Below are 17,453 nucleotides of genomic sequence, written 5' to 3'. Positions count from 1 at the left end.
TCTCTCACTCCCCTTCAAATCTGAAACGTTGAACTGTCCTGCAGGATTGGGTCACCTCTCTTATAGCCTGTGATTTGGGATTGTGTGTAGCATTGTCCATCCTAAGAGAACAGGAGCCAAGTCCTTTTCACTCCAAACATCTGGCACATTGTCTCTGCTTTCTACAATATTCACTCATGGCCGGGCACAGAGGCTCAGGCTTGTAATCCTAGCATTTTGGCAGACCAAGGCAGGTGGACCGCCTGAGTGCAAGACCAGCCTGGGCAACATACTGAGACTCCATATGTACAAAAAATTTAAAACTTAGCCAGACCTGGTGGCACGCACCTGTAGTCCCAGCTATTTGGGAGGCTGAGGTGGGAGGATCACCTGAGCACAGGGAGGTTGAGGCTGCAGTGAGCCAAGATCACGCCATTGCACTTCAGCCTGTGTGATAGAGTGTGACTCCGTCTTTAAAAAAATAAAAATAATTTTAAAAATAAAATATTATCTCATAATGGTAATAACAATCACACCAATGAAAAAGCTAAATAAAGATCAAATTGTTGCAAACCCAGGTGCTTGATTCAGGCCTCTTTCTCTCTTGTATGCACATTCTCTACTTCATGTCTTTTGTGTCTACCAATCAGTTGGTAACTCCCCAATTTTAATTTCTAGCTCCAACATTCTCTTCCACGAGAGAAGATCCAGACTTGCATTTTTAACTGTCTACTGGTCAATCAACTGCTACATGTCCCAGAGTCACCATAACATGATGTATCCCAAACTCAACTCTCTCTCTTTTTTTTTGAGACAGTCTTGCTCTGTCACCCAGGCTGGAGCAGTGGCGCAATCTCAGCTCACTGCAACCTCTGCCTCCCAGGTTCAAGTGATTCTCCTGCCTCAACCTCCCAAGTAGCTGGAATTACAGGCGCCCACCACCACGCCCAGCTAATTTTTGTGTTTTTAGTAGAGATGGGATTTCACCATGTTGGCCAGGGTGGTCTCAAACTCCTGACCTCAGGTGATCCGCCCACCTCAGTCTCAGAGTCCTGGGATTACAGGCATGAGCCACTGTGCCTGGCCCCAAACTCAACTCTTATCCTTTGTCCCAGCAGTTTCTCTCCTGTATGGCTGTCACACTTTACGGTATGTTTCAGCCCAGGCAGTCCAGCCCTCACAGACTTCATCCTTCATATCTAATTGACCCCCAATTCCTGCTGATTCTAACTCAGAAATGTTTCTGGAATCCAACCTGCTTTTCATCCTTAGGCTGTTGCCCTGGGTCTAGACCTCATCAGCTCATGTCTGGACCACTTTCATAGCCTCCTGAAACTCGCTCCCTGCCCCTAATCTCATCCCTGTCCAATGTCAACTCCACCTAGCTGCCACGGGCATCTTTCTAAAATGTGTATTGGGTCATCTCACTCTCTGCTTAAAGCCCTTTTACAGGGTTCAGCAGGTTCAAGGGTTCCTCATGAATGCCTAAAGACTGGCAGGTGGGATCCAGGTACCCCATTCCCTCCACATCCCAAGAATTCTACTTTGATATGTTTTATACATTGGGAGATTCTCTATAGAATTTCTTTTGAGAAAGGCAGCTGCTACCCCTAAAAAAAAAATCTAGTAAACCAATGGTCTTTTTTTTTTCTTTTTAATTCTTTTTCTTTCTTTTTTTTTTTTTTTTTTTTTTTTTTTGAGACAGGGTCTCACTCTGTTGCCCAGGCTGGAGTTCAGTGACGCAATCAAGGCTCACTGCAGCCTCGACCTTTGGGATCAGGTGATCCTCCTACCTCAGCCTCCTCAGTAGCTGGGACCACAGGCACACACCACCATGTCTTTTGTATTTTTGGTAGAGACAGGGGTCTCACCATGTTGTCCAGGCTGATCTCAAACTCCTGGGCTCAAGCAATCTGCCTACCTTGGCCTCCCAAAGTGCTGGAATTACAGGTGTGAGCCACTGCACCCGGCCCCAGTGCTCTTGATGGATGTGTAGAGACAAGCCAGTTGGTTGGCAACACCAGCAGCCCTCCCCTAGGCTAGCAGCACGCTGCCTCAGTGGGTGGAAGCCTGGACGTCCAGCTGAAACCAATGCAGATTTCAGCTGAAAGGAGAACGTGCCAGCACGGCTGGAAGCCCGACTGCACAGCTCAGCATCCTCCAACTTGGTTGGGCTCCCCCCTCACTATGCTTTTCGAGGCAGAGGAGACCAGGGTGCTTCCTCTCAGATGCAACCCTGGTGCATCCAGGCCTGGTTGCCCTGACCAAGCTCACCCCTCCACAGGATCATGAGAATTTCTGGGGGGCCATGTGCCTCTTGCTTTGAGCCTGCTCCACCTATTGGGGTGTTTGCTGTATTCCACTCAACAGGAATAAAGCAAGTCTAGTGTCAAGCAGCGCAGCAGCGTCTCTGATCCGAAGTGAAAGCAAGAACCCAGGCGGCTCCCGGCTGGAGGAGAAAGTCCATTCGGCCTGAGCTGCCTCCAGCCTCTCTTCACGACTACCGCCCATGCTTCATGATCACTGCACACATGGCCTGCAGGTGGGTTCACCCAGCCCGGGCTGATCACGATTTTCCCAAACACAGAACAAACGCTCCCCACTCTCTACTCTCTCTGGCAGAGGGTTCCCTTGTTTGGAATGGCCTCTTCTGCCTACCCCAACCCTCCCCATCCCAAAGGCATGGCTTGGACTCCCCTCCTCCATGAAGCCTTCCCCACTGCAATTGCCACCTTGTCCTGTGAACACATGGTGCCAGCGTTCCCATAATCCACCGACCTCATGACATCTCTTGTGTTGTGATTTAATTTTTTGGACTTCTGCCTTTTTTCCACAACTACACTACAGACTTTTTTTTTCTTTTGAGACAGAGTTTCACTCCCGTTGCCCAGGCTGGAGTGCAATGGTGCCATCTCGGCTCACTGCAACCTCCGCCTCCTGGGTTCAAGCAATTCTCCTGCCTCAGCCTCCCAAGTAGCTGAGATTACAGGCGCCCGCCACCACTTCCAGCTAATTTTTTGTATTTTTAGTAGAGACGGGGTTTCACCATGTTGGCCAGGCTGGTCTTGAACTCCTGACCTCAGGTGATCCGCCCGCTTCAGCCTCCCAAAGTGCTGGGATTACAGGCGTGAGCCACCATGCCTGGCCCACTACAAACTTTTGGAGGCAGGGTCATGTGTTATTCCAAAAAATATACTATCTTATGCACATAAAGGGGCTTGGTGACTATTTGCTCAAAGAAAGGAGGAGGAGGCCGGGCGCAGTGGCTCACGCCTGTCATCCCAGCACTTTGGGAGGCCAAGGTGGGTGGATCACCTGAGGTCAGGCATTCAAGACCATCCTGGCCAACATAGTGAAACCCCATCTCTACTAAAAATACAAAAAATTAGCTGGGCGTGGTGGTGCATTCCTGTAGTCCCAACTACTCAGGAGGTTGAGGCAGGAGAATTGCTGGAACCCGGGAGGTGGCAGTTGCAGTGAGCTGAGATCGTGCCATTACACTCCAGCCTGGGCAATAAGAGCGAAACTCCATCTCCACAAAAAAGAAAGAAGGAGGAAAGAAACGAAGAGAGGGAAGGAAGGAATGATGGCGGTCAACCCACTTTGTATAATTCTCTAGCTGTTGCCCTCTGAGGGTGTGGGGATCTCTTTTCTTTCTTAAACTAAGCTTCATAAGAGTTTGTCACTTGTGGGACTTCTCAGCCTCCCAAGGAGATCAAAGGGAGCCTTGGCTTCTGCCCTCCACCCCGACCCCTGACTGCTTTTCCAGATGGCAACCTATTCAAGACCAGGGGAGGGGGCTACAGCTGGCCTGTGAGAGGGGACACAACTCGGTGTGCAAGGGAGCCATGGGAGGAGCCAGGGCTGCTCCCCACTCCAGACAGGTCTGTGAGAGAGGAGCACAGGGATTGCACCTAGCAGTGGAGCCATGGGGACCTGGAACTGGCGGCTCACCCCGGGCAAAATCATGGTCCTCTTGCTCCTGCCTCTGGGGTTCTCCGCTGTGCTGTGGGCTCTCAGCCGCTGGCCACAGACAGGCCCTTCACCTTGGTGGCGGAGCAGTGAGCTAGATAGAGCCTCCCCAACTTCTCCCAGCCCCCACTTCTCCAGCCCCCACTTCTCCAGCCTCCACTTCTCTAGCCCCCACTTCTCCAGACCCCACTTCTCCCAGCCCCCACTTCTCTAGCCCCCACTTCTCCCAGTCCCCACTTCTCCCAGCCCCCACTTCTCTAGCCCCCACTTCTCCCAGTCCCCACTTCTCCAGCCTCCACTTCTTCAGCCCCCACTTCTCCAGACCCCAGTTCTCCAGCCCCCACTTCTCCCAGCCCCCCCTTTCCAGCCCCCAGTTCTCCAGCCCCCAGTTCTCCTAGCCCCGACTTCTCCAGCCTCCACTTCTCCTAGCCCCCACTTCTCCAGTTCTCCAGCCCCCACTTCTCCAGCCTCAGCACATGGCAGGGAGGGGATTTCCTTTGGGGCCTTAACTGGGAATTGTTCTCTTGCCCCACGTCAGCTGGCTGCTGGGGGAGAGTGTTCAGTAGTTTCATTTCCCTCATTTGGAACGGAGTTTTTAAGAACCAAGAATTAAAACCGGAAAGAGGAGAGCCCACCGCCCACATTGGTACCACTCAACGCCTCATGATGCCCATCCTGGAAAAGCGGAGGGGTCAATGCAGAGGCTGAAGGCAGTGCGGGGGTGGGGTGGGGCTGGGGGCTCTTCCCCGCGTGTTTCTCCTCCTGGAGGAGGTGGCGGTCTCCAATCCTGAGATCAGCTCCTCTAGCTCCCTGCTGCCCATGGCCTCCCGCAGCCACTGACTCCGGTGACTGACCTCTGTGGGGACACTGCCTCTTCCTGTCCTGAAACACCGACAGTATCAACATATGATCAAAGAGTCCAGGTGGTGCAAAGATAACATGGAAGTGTCCTATCAGTGCCAGGGCGTGGAGTGGGACAGCGAGGGGAAGGGGCACCCATAACTAACCATGGTCTGGTCCAGGGCCGAAAGGACCTTGGGGAAAATGGGCACGCGGTGCTGGGAGAGTCCTGGGAGCGGGAGAGCACGAAGGGCACAGCCGCTGGGACAGTGCAGCCCAAACTTTCTGGAAGTGTGAACTGGACCCTCCTGGGGTGGGACCTGGCATGGGGTAGGACACTAGGGATCCAACAAGGAAAATAAGGCCATGCCAAGGAGGAGGCTGCAAGGGGATGGCTTTGTGGCTGACTCTGTCCAGCGTTTCCCATGGGGCGTCCCAGCTCATCTTTGCAGTTTTGCCTTCCCCCTGGACAGTGAGTCCTGCCAGGCAGGGTCTCTGGCTTGTTCACATTTGTATATATCCCCAAGAATACTTGGTCTAGCACCTTGTAGGGGCTCAGCACAGGCTAAAGTGTCATTTGCTCTAGAGCTGTTGGAGAGGTTGAGGACTTAGTCATTTGTGGTCATTGATAAGTCCTCTTTCTTTTCTTTCTTTGCTTTTTTCTTTTCTTCTTCTTCTTCTTCTTCTTTTTTTTTTTGACGGAGTTTCGCTCTTGTTGCCCAGGCTGGAGTACAGTGGCACGATCTCGGCTCACGGCAACCTCCGCCTCCTGGGTTCAAGCGATTCTCCTGCCTCAGCCTCCCAAGTATCTGGGATTGCAGGCATGTACCACCACGCCTGGCTAATTTTTGTATTTTTAGTAGAGACAAAGTTTCACCATGTTGTCCAGGGTGGTCCCGAACTCCTGACCTTAGGCGATCCGCCGGCCTCAGCCTCCCAAAGTGCTGGGATTACAGGTGTGAGCCACCGCGCCCGGCCGAGAAGTCCTTTCTCATAATTGGTGAATATAAATCCCGGAGTCCTCACCACAGGCTCCGGGCCCTGCATGATCCGGGCCCCGCTGGATTCGGCCCCTTCTCTGCTCCCTCTGACTTCACGCCCTATCACTCTGCTCCTCACTTCCTCTGCAAAAAGCCTAGCACCCTCCGGCAGCTCCTCCTTGGAGCCGGCTCTGGCTCCAAACAAAAGATACCCAAACAAAGGCAAGAAAGTGGTGAATTCCTAGAACCGGGAGGGCGCGGGCTCGGGGGCCAGCTGCAGGTTCCTGAGACGTGGGAGAGGAGGAGGAGTGAACACAGACCGCAGGCCAGTGAGTGGAGCAAGGTGCAAACTGCCAGAGAGCGGAGGCCCGGCCCGAAGACCCCAGACTCGCCTCCCGCCCACCCGCCCCCACGTGAAAAGGCACCAGATCCTAAGCGCTAACAGCGAAGGGCGGGACCGGCAGAGGGCTCCCTGCGGCGCCTCTCGAGGCGCGAGCGACCGGAAGGAAAGGCGGGAGGCTCAGCAGCGCGGCGGTGGGAGGAGCGCGCCCTTGCTGATTTCATGGAGGCCCGGGGCCGCGGGCGCTGTTCTCCTTCCTGTGCCGAGTGTGGTTTGCTATCAAGCGGTGGCAGTTCAGCCACAATCAGGGGCAGGGGGAGGGAGAGGCCCCCCGAAGAGGCAGAGGCCCTGCCTCGGCCGCCCTGAGCCTGGAAGGTGATTGGCTAGAGCGACTCCCGGCCGGGAGCGGAATGAATGGCGGGGACCGGGGCCTCTGGGTGGTGCGAGGTATGTTGGGAGGTGCGGGTTTTAATCGGCAGTTGGGCAGTTTAGCCACACGGGCCGGGGGCAGGGTGGGGCTGGCAGAGAAGGGAAGCTGGTGAGGCGGAAACAGGGAGGAGTAGGTTTTTCTTTCTTCTCACACCGGCAAACCAGAGGAAGCTTAACCTATCGGAACCAATTACTAGCATGAACCTAGCACTGAGCTCAAAGGCTGAATTTTAGACCTTTCACTGCTCCCATGCACACCCTGCCTGGTCACGGCTTCTCACCGTCTTTACCAAGATCAGTCACACCTGTGAAGCCCTGCTCATTCATCTCGCCAATTCCCTTCTACAGGACCCAGTGCCCAGACGCCACTACCCAATTCCCCCAGCCTTGGAATCTCCTCCTCTCTGCCAGGTCCTCACCACTGTGTTCTTGGCGATTTCACTAAAGATTCACCTCCTCAAAACTGGCCCCAATTAGTCCCACCCTGTTCAACCTACTATCTCCACTTAACGGCAAATGGCACCTGACACCCTCAGAAGTCAGACTCCTGGCAACTACAATTACCCAAAATACGGCAGAAAACTGTCTCGAAGCCCAGGCAACTGATTCTTGGGAGAAGCTGACTCATGCTTGGCCTCTACCTAGAGAAATAATTCATATTTAGAGCTGTGAGAATAGATAGCAAAGAGAGAGTAAGAAAAAAGATGCATAAATATGTACTAACACGTTTTTATAATTGCTTTTGTGTTCTTCCTGACAGCATCATGTTGCCTTTTAATATGGAGCATGTGCCATAGCTCTCCAGGAGAACCCCTCTGTGTCACAGCGAACCTCAGTCACTGACACTCAAAAGAAGGAATTATTTCAACTCAATAATAAACAAATAACCCTATTTTAAAATCAGCAAAGGGTGTTACCACATTTCCACAGAAGGTATACAAATGGCCAGTAATCATGTGAAAAGATGCTTGATATCATTTGTCATCAGGGAAATGCAAATCAAAACTGCAATGAGAGGCCAGGCGCTGTGGCTCACACCTGTAATCCCAGCGCTTTGGGAGGCTGAGGCAGGTGGATCGCTTGAGCCCAGGAGTTCAAACCCAGCCTGACCAACATGGTGAAACCCCGTCTCTACAAAAAAATACAAAAATTAGCCGGGCACAGTGGCCTGTGCCTGTAATCCCAGCTACTCAGGAGGCTGAGGCAGGAGACTCACTTGAACCCAGGAGGCAGAGGTTGCAGTGAGCCGAGATTGTGCCATTGCACTCCAGCCTGGGTGACGGGAGTGAAACCCTGTCTAAAAAAACCCCAAAAACAAAAACTACAATGACATATCACTTTATATGCACTAGGATGCCTAGCATCAAAAGGTCAAATAAAACAAGTATGTGGAGAAACTGCGACCCTCATACACTGCTGGTGGGAATGTAAGATGGTGCAGAAACTTTGGAAAGGAGTCTGGCAGCTCCTCAAAAGGTAAAAGCATGGAGTTATCAGGTGGCTCACAAATTCCATTCCTAGGGACCTAAAAGAAATGAAGACATGCTATACAAACACCTGAAGACATGCTATACTAACACCTGAAGCCATGCTATACTAACACCCGAACATGAATGTTCAGAACAGCATCATTCATGATTACCAAGAAGTGGAAAAAACCCAAATGTCCATCAACTAACTGACGAGTGGATACAGTATATCCATGCAGTGGAATTTCTTTTTCTCTTTCTTTCTTTCTTTTCTTTCTCTTTCTTTCTTTCTTTTTCTTTCCTTCTTTCTTTCTTTCTTCTTTCTTCTTTTTTTTTTTTTTGATGGGATCTCTTTCTGTCACCCAGGCTGGAGTTCAGTGATGCTATCTCAGCTCACTGCAACCTCCTCCTGGGCTCAAGCGATCCTCCCACCTCAGCCTCCCCAGTAGCTGGGACCACAGGTGCCTGCCACCACACCCGACTAATTTTTTGTATTTTTGGTAGAGATGGGGTTTCTGCCCAGGCTGGTCTTGAACTTCTGAGCTCAAGCGATCCACCCGCCTCAGCCTCCCAAAGTGCTGGGAATACTGGCTTGAGCCACTGCGCCCAGCTATGCAGTGGAACATTTCTCAGCCATAGAAGAGAATAAAGTACTGATACATGCTACAACAGGGACAAACTTTGAAAACATTATGCTAAGTGAAAAAAGTCAGTCACAAATGATCACATGTTACATGATTTCATTTACATGAATTGTTCAGAGAAGGCAAATCTGTAGAGAGAGAAAGATTAGTGGTTACCTAGGTCTGGGGGTTTGGGGGAAAATGGGAGTGACTGGTAATGGGTATGGGGTTTCCTTTTGAGGTTATGAAAATGTTCTAAAATTGTGGTGATGGTTTCATGAGTATGTGAACATGCTAAAAGCAATTGCCTTGTACACATTAAATGCGTAAATTATATGGTAGATGAGTTATAGCTCAATAAAGCTGTTCTATAAAAATAAACCACTGGGCACTGTGGCTCACGCCTGTAATCCCAGCACTTTGGGAGGCCGAGGCAGGCAGATCACCTGAGGTCAGGAGTTCGAGACCAGCCTGACCAACATGGTGAAACCCTGTTTCTACTAAAAATACAAAATTAGTTGGGTGTGGTGGTGCATGCTTGTAATCCCAGCTACTCAGGAGGCTGAGACAGGAGAATCACTTGAACCTGGGAGGTGGAGGTTGCAAATGAGCCGAGATCACGCCAGAAAAAAAGAATAGGTTAACATAGACTCAGTATACAAGAAAGGGAAGTGTGGCGGCTCACATCTGTAATCCCCGTGAAGTGGGATTTGTTTAACATTTTTTGAAAATCAGAATAAAAAAGATTAGTGCTTAAACTGATACTCTCTAGTTATTTGGAAAATACATTTATGTAAAACATGTGTTTTCCTATTATAGTCTAAATTAGAACATTGGAGCACCTAGCAACATCTTAAAGCTAGTTAAACAGAATGACATCATATTTTGACCATACTGTTTTGAAATTGTGCAGTTTCTCTTTGTATCTCTAGAGTGATTCATGAATATGTATTTGGCTTCTCAAATTAAAAATATTTCACTGCTATTGAACTATTCCTTTAATATCTGTATAAATGTTTTTAAGTATTATATTTTGAGGATTTTGAAGCTTTAGGTTTCTTATTTAAAATACAATTATCGGCCAGGCATGGTGGCTCACACCTGTAATCCCAGCACTTTGGGAGGCCGAGGCGGGTGAATCACAAGGTCAAGAGATCAAAACCATTCTGGCCAACATGGTGAAACCCCGTCTCTACTAAAAATACAAAAAAAGTTTAGCCAGGCGTGGTCGTGGGCACCTGTAGTCCCAGCTACTCAGGAGGCTGAAGCAGGAGAATGATGTGAACCCAGGAGGCGTAGGTTGCAGTGAGCTGAGATCGCACCACTGCACTCCAGCCTGGCAACAGAGCGAGACTCTGTCTCAAAAAAATACAATAATAAAATAAAATAAAAAATAAAATAAAATATAGAATCATCTGGGCCAGGCACGGTGGCCCATGCCTGTAATCCCAGTACTTTGGGAGGCTGAGGTAGGTGGATCCCTTGAGCTCAAGAGATTGAAACCAGCCTAGGCAACATGGTGAAACCCCATATCTACAAAAATACAAAATGCAAAAGAATTAGCCAGGCATGGTGGCACGCGCCTGTTGTCCCAGCTACTCGGGAGGCTAAGGCGAAAGGATCATTTGCACCCAGAAAGTCGAGGCTGCAGTGAGCCAAGATTGCGCCACTGCACTCAAGCCTGGGTGACAAAGCGAGACCCTGTCTCAAAAACAAAACAAAATTTTAAAATTGCCACAATTATCCTTAATCTTATGTTGGAGATGATTACTAGGGAGATCATTAATATATAAAATATATTCTACTATATTAATAAATTATATAACATATTAGTATAATGTATTAAATATAATTATATTAAGAATAATATAAATATTTTAAAATTATATAATTTATATAAAGTAACTAGATAATGTTAAATATCAGGAAACTGCAGGAAGTTGGTATTCCTTGTTAAGAAGAAAGGTGCACTCATCCCTTTGAGAGCAGAAATGACTCTTCTTCTGTTTGAGGATAAAAGGACGATGTCCCCAGAGCTGGAATCTATAATAGTCAGTATTTGCAGGGGTTGTGTTTGACGGGTGCTCAGCGTCTGAACCTCTTCACGGCTAAGAGGAGCCTTTTCTTGCGTGGCGTTGTTTGGAAACAGAGGCCTATCCCTTGGAAATTAGGATTTGGTTGCATGATCTGGGCTCAACCATCGGAATGTGTGCTAAGAAACCTGGGCATGGAGCAAGTATGTGAGGAAGCTGCCTCGCTCCAGGGGTGGCAGCCGCAGCCTCTGATGTCCCAGGCAGTCACAGTGACACAGCCTTCCAACCAGGCCGCCCCCTGGCATGACCATGGCTGTGGGTGCAGCTGCCCACCTCCCCTGCTGCTGCCATTTGCTCACCTGCGTCTCCAGCCTTCGCACTGACATTTACCCACTATCCTTCCAATAAATTCCTTTCCTGCTCAAGTGAATCAGAATCAGTTTCTGTTGTTTGCAGTTAAAAACTCTGACTCATGGGCCGGGCGCAGTGGCTCACGCCTGTAATGCCAGCACTTTGGGAGGCCGAGGCGGGCGGATCACGAGGTCAATAGATCGAGACCATCCTGGTCAACATGGTGAAACCCTGTCCCTACTAAAAATACAAAAATTAGTTGGGCATGGTGGCCCGTGCCTGTAATCCCAGCTACTTGCGAGGCTGAGGCAAGAGAATTGTTTGAACCCAGGAGGCAGAGGTTGCAGAGAGCCGAGATCGTGCACTGCACTCCAGTCTGACGACAGAGCAAGACTCCGTCAAAAAATAAAAATAAAAAATAAACAAAAACAAAACAAAACAAACAAACAAAAAAACCCTGACTCATTCTCCATGTAGGAAAAAAAATGCAAACTAAACCCCTCCAAGTTGAGAAAGGTGAGGAGAAAAGGAGGAGAGACAGGGGAAGAAAAGAGGTACTGGGATTTGGAAAGGTAAAATAAGTTTTTTCCTGGAATTAGCAGAAAGCAATGACAGCAAGTCTTGCCAGAGTAACCCGCTGCATTACCCACAGCTATGTGCAAAGCTGCCGGGCTCCCAGGGAAACCAGAGCTGCAATTCAATTGGCAAAAGTCAAAAATGACAGTCTATTACCCCAGTGGGAACTGAGTCACTTGAGTGACAGAGTAATGGAATTATTTACAGAGGCAGTAGTGTCTGATATTCTGAGATGATGTTTCCTGGTGGGCTATACTTTAGGGTAAGTTAGGTCTGGAAATGCCTAACAGCATAGGAGTTAAATGTTAGCCAAAACTGCATAACAAGATAGAAAAAACTTTATTTGCAACATGCTCAAAATATTAGCGGAAACGTTAATAGACCATAAATGTTTATAGGTGAAGTAATCTCAAACCAAACTTAAAAATAAGAAATTGATAGAACTGACTTACAGTCGGTTATGTGAGAAGAATATTTGCAGTTTGGGTCAAATTACTATTTAAGCTATTCTGAAATTACAATTCTACATAATTATAATAACAAACGTGATAATTTAAATTACTGACCAGAAGCTAATAGATTCTAAGTATATAGTGGCCTATAGGTGAAATTTGATAATACTAAATTTGAAATCTTTCTTTCTTTTTTTTTTTTTTCTTCGTTGAGACGGAGTCTCACTCTGTCCCCCAGGCTGGAGTGCAGTGGCGCGATCTTGCCTCACTGCAACCTCTGCCTCCTGGGTTCAAGCGATTCTCCTGCCTCAGCCTCCCGAGTAGCTGGGATTACAGGTGCCCACCACCACACCCAGCTAATTTTTGTATTTTTAGTAGAGACAGGGTTTCACCATGTTGGCCAGGCTGGTCTCGAACTCCTGACCTGATGATCTGCTGCCTCAGCCTCCCAAAGTGCTGGGATTACAGGCGTGAGCCACCGCACCTGGCCTAAATTTGAAATCATTTCAATGAAATGATACTTCTTTCAATCTAGGGTCCTCTTGATCACATGGATTGGCTGAAAATTATTAATAGAAAATTTGTAAAAGAAACAGACTCACATAGACTTTGTTCTATGAGCAAAAATGCCCTGTTCAGCAGTGGTGTGGCCTCTCTGTGCCTCCATTTCCACATCTGTAAAATGGTGATAATAATAGTTGTTGTGAACAATGAAACAAATCAATCCTGTAAGCCCTTAGACACAGCGCCTGGTGCATATTAAGAACTCTGTGTTTATTGTTCTAACTGTGATTGCAGGTTTTTATCATGTGGGGCAAAGGGAGATGTATTCTCAATGACCATGGAAGGGAAAGCAGCCTTGGAGAGCCATTTAGTTAAAATGAGATTACTTAACTCAGAAAATGTGGCATTCCCAAAACTTATTGAAATTTAGGGGGGGAAAGAGCAGAACTCTCTTTCCAACGTCTCAAGCCATGGTTTAGAGAGGGATCCACAGAGAACTATTCCACTTGGGAACCCACCACCAGTCCCAGATGCGGGGCCACCATTATCCTCCTGCCAGCCACGTCTACAGTGACTGTAAGATGGTCCACAGGCGGGGCCACCATTATCCTCCTGCCAGCCACGTCTACAGTGACTGTAAGATGGTCCACAGGCGGGGCCACCATTATCCTCCTGCCAGCCACGTCTACAGTGACTGTAAGATGGTCCACAGGTGGGGCCACCATTATCCTCCTGCCAGCCACATCTACAATCAGTGTAAGATGGTCCACAGGCGGGAAGAAGCAAAGGTGTTTAAGAAAAGCCTGTCTGCACGAATCGTCCGGGGAGAACATGAAGACATCCTGGAAGTAACCAAGAAAGCCCTATGAGGAGTGGAGGGGGTGTGCTGTCATAGGTCACAGGGATAGAAGGCTGAGGGTGGAAAGCAAGGAGAGATACCAGAGAGGTATCTCTGTCCACTGCATTGGGAGTTACCCAGCTCCCACAACCAGACTCAGGAAAGAGACCACAGACCCCTCCCTATCACAAAGGCGACCCCAAGGTGGGGAGATGCTGATGGGAGATCTTCACATCCTCGGACCTGCTGAAAGTCCATCCGGCGGAAACCAGAGTCTTTGACAGGCGCGTAGAGCGAGAAACAGAACTTGGGCTCTGGAGTCAGACCCTGGCTCGAATGCCCACATCCCGCCACCTGCCAGATGGATGAACTTGAGCAAGACACTCAGCATCTCCGTGCCTCCGCTTCCTCATGGTAAAGGCGCCTTTGGCACAGAAAGAACTCGGTAGGCGTCAGCTATTATTATTGCATGCCGACAATTTCATCTTCCAGAGAGTGGAGAAGTAGTAAGCGGAACTGCCACTCTGAACTAAATTTGGCCAAAAGGAGGAATTGGTTGGCAGAGTGGAAATGACAGGAAGCTTGGGAGAAAGCAACTGTGTCTTCTTCAAGTATATAATAGCGAGAGAAATGGCAGGGCCCAGTTAGACGTGGTCCCTAGATTTTACCAATTAAAAGAACATACCATGGCTTGAGACGCTGGAAAGATGCTCAAGAATTGAGTACTTCCTAAGAACATTCACTGTGCCCGTGAAATCTCAATTCAGTGAAAAAGGAGGAAGGGGCTTAAAGAAACCCTAAGGTTGCAGATGTTTGTGATGTGATTGTGGGAGAAGGTGAGCCTGAGCTGAACAGGGGGTGCTTTCGCCCGCAGAGGAACGTAAGGTGGAACAAATGGCAGCATGCTTCTGAGAAAGTGAAAGCCCCACGTGAATTGAGGCCCGTACAAGGGCTTCATAAAGTCATATTCAAAGCAAAAAAGGGGATACGCTGTTTGCGGTCAGTGTTGTCATGTTGGTGGGTGACAAGAGAAAGCAGAACTCCTCAATGTGTATTTTGCTTCTGTTTTTCCCTGTCAAAGGGAGCATTCTTAGAACTGAAACGCCCGGAGGAAAAGTTAACCCAAAGTGGCAGAAAAAACTGTGAGAGACCCCAGTATCTGTATATGAATTCCAGGAATCTGACCAGAACAAATGATTTTCCAGAGAGTGGGGAGTTTTGCAAATAATTTCCCTCCATGCATTGTCTAAGGGCTAAACCTCTTAGGGACAAGCATTTAGTACAATTTTCAAAAGAGTAAAGACACTCAGTTCCACACGCCTCAAGCCATTTTGTTTACTGAGTCCAAGAATCAAAGCCACTTATTAATGAGATGGCGGTGGTCACTAGGAGTCCCTGTAGGGAACTAAAGAACGTTTTGTTCTAAAGAACATGTTTTCTGGAACAAACTCACACAGTCAGTTGAATTCTTTGGTCATCTTTCCATGACACTCATTTGAAACATTTCCATTTTTGTCTATCTTTATTCCACTGAAATCTTTTTCACTAGGATCAATTATTTTTCATTTAATTTTTTTTTTTTTTTGAGACGAAGTTTCTCTTTGTCAGGCTAGAGTGCAGTGGCATGATCTCAGCTCACTGCAATCTCCACCTACCGGGTTGAAGCAATTCTCCTGCCTCAGCCTCCTGAGTAGCTGGGATTACAGTCATGCACCACCATGCCCAGCTAATTTTGTATTTTTAGTAGAGATGGGGCTTCTCTGGGTTGGCCAGGCTGGTCTCAAACTCCCAACCTCAGGTGATCTGCCCACCTCAGCCTCCCAAAGTGCTGGGATGACAGGCATGAGCCACTGCGCCTGGCCTAATTTAAATTTTTAAATTCAGTTTTGTCCCAGTGCGTGGTCCAAAAGTGCATCCAGTTGTGCAGGATGGGATCAGAGAGTGGAACTGCAGAGAGAGTCTATGTTGGCAGCAATCAGGAAGGGAGGTGCCGCCTGTACTGGGCCTGGAAGATGGCCCTGGCAGCTCAGCTTCCTCCTTCCCAAACAGGCCCTGGGCTGGGAGAGCCTCTTACTTGTTTCTGCCTCAACTCTAGTCTCTGTGCTTCTGCATCCACACCAAAGTGGAGAGAGATCCCCGTCTCTCCAAAGGCTGGGAAGTGCCCTGGTAACCAGGATCCTTACAAGAATTGTGAAGCAAGGCAGTGCCCTTCTCTGTTACCCCCTGGGAAGCCCAGACAGCTGGTTTGGTCTACAAGGGAATCTTTGTTTTTTTCAAGATGGAGTCTTGCTCTGTCACCCAGGCTGGAGTGCAGTGGCGTGATCTCGGCTCACTGCAACCTCCGCCTCCGGGGTTCAAGCAGTTCTCCTGCCTCAGCCTCCCGAGTAGCTGGGATTACAGGAGCCCGCCACCACACCTGGCTAATTTTTGTATTTTTAGTAGAGACAGGGTTTCACCATGTTGGCCAGGCTGGTCTTGAACTCCTGACCTCATGATTCGCCCTCCTCGGCGTCCCAAAGTGCTGGGATTACAGGTGTGAGCCACCGCACCTGGCCTACAAGGGAATCTTAAACTTGACTTGCCACACAACCCTCTGGTACTCTGGCAACTCCTGTGGACTCCTCAGAATCACGTTTTTAAATGTAGAAAATGAAATACATACTCAAGGAGAAGAAATAGACTACATTGAAATACAATTCTATCCATAGACCCCTTGAATCCATGGACTCCAGGTTAAAACGTCCTGAGAGGGCAGCAGATAGTAGTTCAGAATTCAAATGAAAGAGGTAAATGTATTATATAAGGTGAATGTTTTCAGAAGGGCCAACTAAGGTGGAAAATGAAAAGCTAACCTAAGTTTTATTTATATTCAAAATTTCATTTATTATTAAACATAAAAATTTCCAGATCAGCTCTAGTCCATTTACCCCTCTCACATCTTGATATTAACCTCAAAATTCAGGTTTCCCTGGGTGACTTAAAACTCCTTCATTTGTGTATTTAAAGCATTTTGGAATTGATTTTTACTTTCAAATTGTACTGCCTCTTAGAGTAATGAATTTCGTGAGTGTACAACCTTCTGCACGAGGTAATACTCCATTTTATTTATTTAAAGCATATCTCCAGGTGTAAGATGTCCTCCCTTTACTAACATTCTAGTCTATAATCAAACCGATCAGTTATTCATATGAAGATTATAAGTTCAGGCATCACATTTAATCGGTCCCGATATGACTGTTCTAGCTCACACTCCCAGCTCTTGATCTCTTCACTTCCCCTCCTTTAGACTTTGCCTGCCTTGCTGTTTTCTTGAGGCTGAACACTCACAATCAAAGGTAATTTTCCAAATGTGGACATAGAATGTGCGTTGCGTGGCCAGGCACGGTGGCTCACGCCTGTAATCCCAGCACTTTGGGAGGCCAAGGCGGGTAAATCACCTGAGGTCAAGAGTTTGAGACCAACCTGGCCAATATGGCAAAACCCCATCTCTACTAAAAACACAAAAATTAGCCTGGCATGGTGGCGAGTGCCTGTAATCCCAGCTACTAGGGAGGCTGAGGCAGGAGAATCGCTTGAACCCGGGAGGCGGAGGTTGCAGTGAGCGGCTGAGATTGAGCCACTGCACTCCAGCCTGGGCAACAGAGCAAAACTCTGTCTCAAAAAAAAAAAAGAACGTGCGTTATGATATATTATGTCATATCATAGGAAACAGTTGCCATCTGCAAGTTAGGCAATTTGAGGAGAGTTTAATAAAGGGACTAGTACCCAGTGTGGTCACGGCAAAGCGGGAGCCCAGGACTTGCCCCAAAGGGCTGTTACTTCCCTAGGTCTGGGGGAGGCAACAATGATCAGAGCCCAAAAGGTGAGAGTCCACAGGCGCCTGGAGAGGCTACTGGAGAAGCCCTGTGACCCCTGATCTAGGGAAGCAGCTCCCCGAGGAAGCCCTGCAGGAGGAAACCAGGGGAGCAAACACGCGACCACTCTCCCCTCCCTGACGGGGATCCCTGTTTAGGGACCCCAGCTAGAGGACAAAGGACACAGGTCTGCTGAGCAGAGAGCAGGGTGGG

At 48.4% G+C, this 17,453-nt stretch overlaps 1 long non-coding RNA gene across 1 annotated transcript, besides 3 other annotated features; it reads left to right on the top strand.

The window, feature by feature from the left end:
- Window positions 3,339–3,876: an enhancer, noted in NCBI's record as "H3K4me1 hESC enhancer chr3:196361941-196362478 (GRCh37/hg19 assembly coordinates)". NCBI's record gives its function as "activates a minimal SCP1, AML or CMV promoter by ChIP-STARR-seq in naive H9 embryonic stem cells {active_cell/tissue: H9 hESC(naive)}" and the evidence as "EXISTENCE:reporter gene assay evidence [ECO:0000049][PMID:30033119]".
- Window positions 5,937–6,691: an enhancer, noted in NCBI's record as "NANOG-H3K27ac-H3K4me1 hESC enhancer chr3:196359126-196359880 (GRCh37/hg19 assembly coordinates)". NCBI's record gives its function as "activates a minimal SCP1, AML or CMV promoter by ChIP-STARR-seq in naive H9 embryonic stem cells {active_cell/tissue: H9 hESC(naive)}" and the evidence as "EXISTENCE:reporter gene assay evidence [ECO:0000049][PMID:30033119]".
- Window positions 6,359–7,442, top strand: LINC01063 (long intergenic non-protein coding RNA 1063). The gene is made up of 2 exons (NR_132101.1): window positions 6,359–6,558; window positions 7,301–7,442. It is a non-coding gene; the product is annotated as a long intergenic non-protein coding RNA 1063 (long non-coding RNA).
- Window positions 6,468–6,547: a silencer, noted in NCBI's record as "silent region_15068". NCBI's record gives its function as "represses an Ori minimal core promoter by ATAC-STARR-seq in GM12878 lymphoblastoid cells {active_cell/tissue: GM12878}" and the evidence as "EXISTENCE:reporter gene assay evidence [ECO:0000049][PMID:35858748]".
- Window positions 7,443–17,453: the final 10,011 nt, after the last annotated feature.

Source organism: Homo sapiens, chromosome 3 (genome assembly GCF_000001405.40).
Source record: "Homo sapiens chromosome 3, GRCh38.p14 Primary Assembly".
NCBI classification, from domain to species: domain Eukaryota; kingdom Metazoa; phylum Chordata; class Mammalia; order Primates; family Hominidae; genus Homo; species Homo sapiens.
The sequence above is the reverse complement of the archived record's forward strand: the minus strand, read 5'-3'. Positions and strand labels throughout refer to the sequence as shown.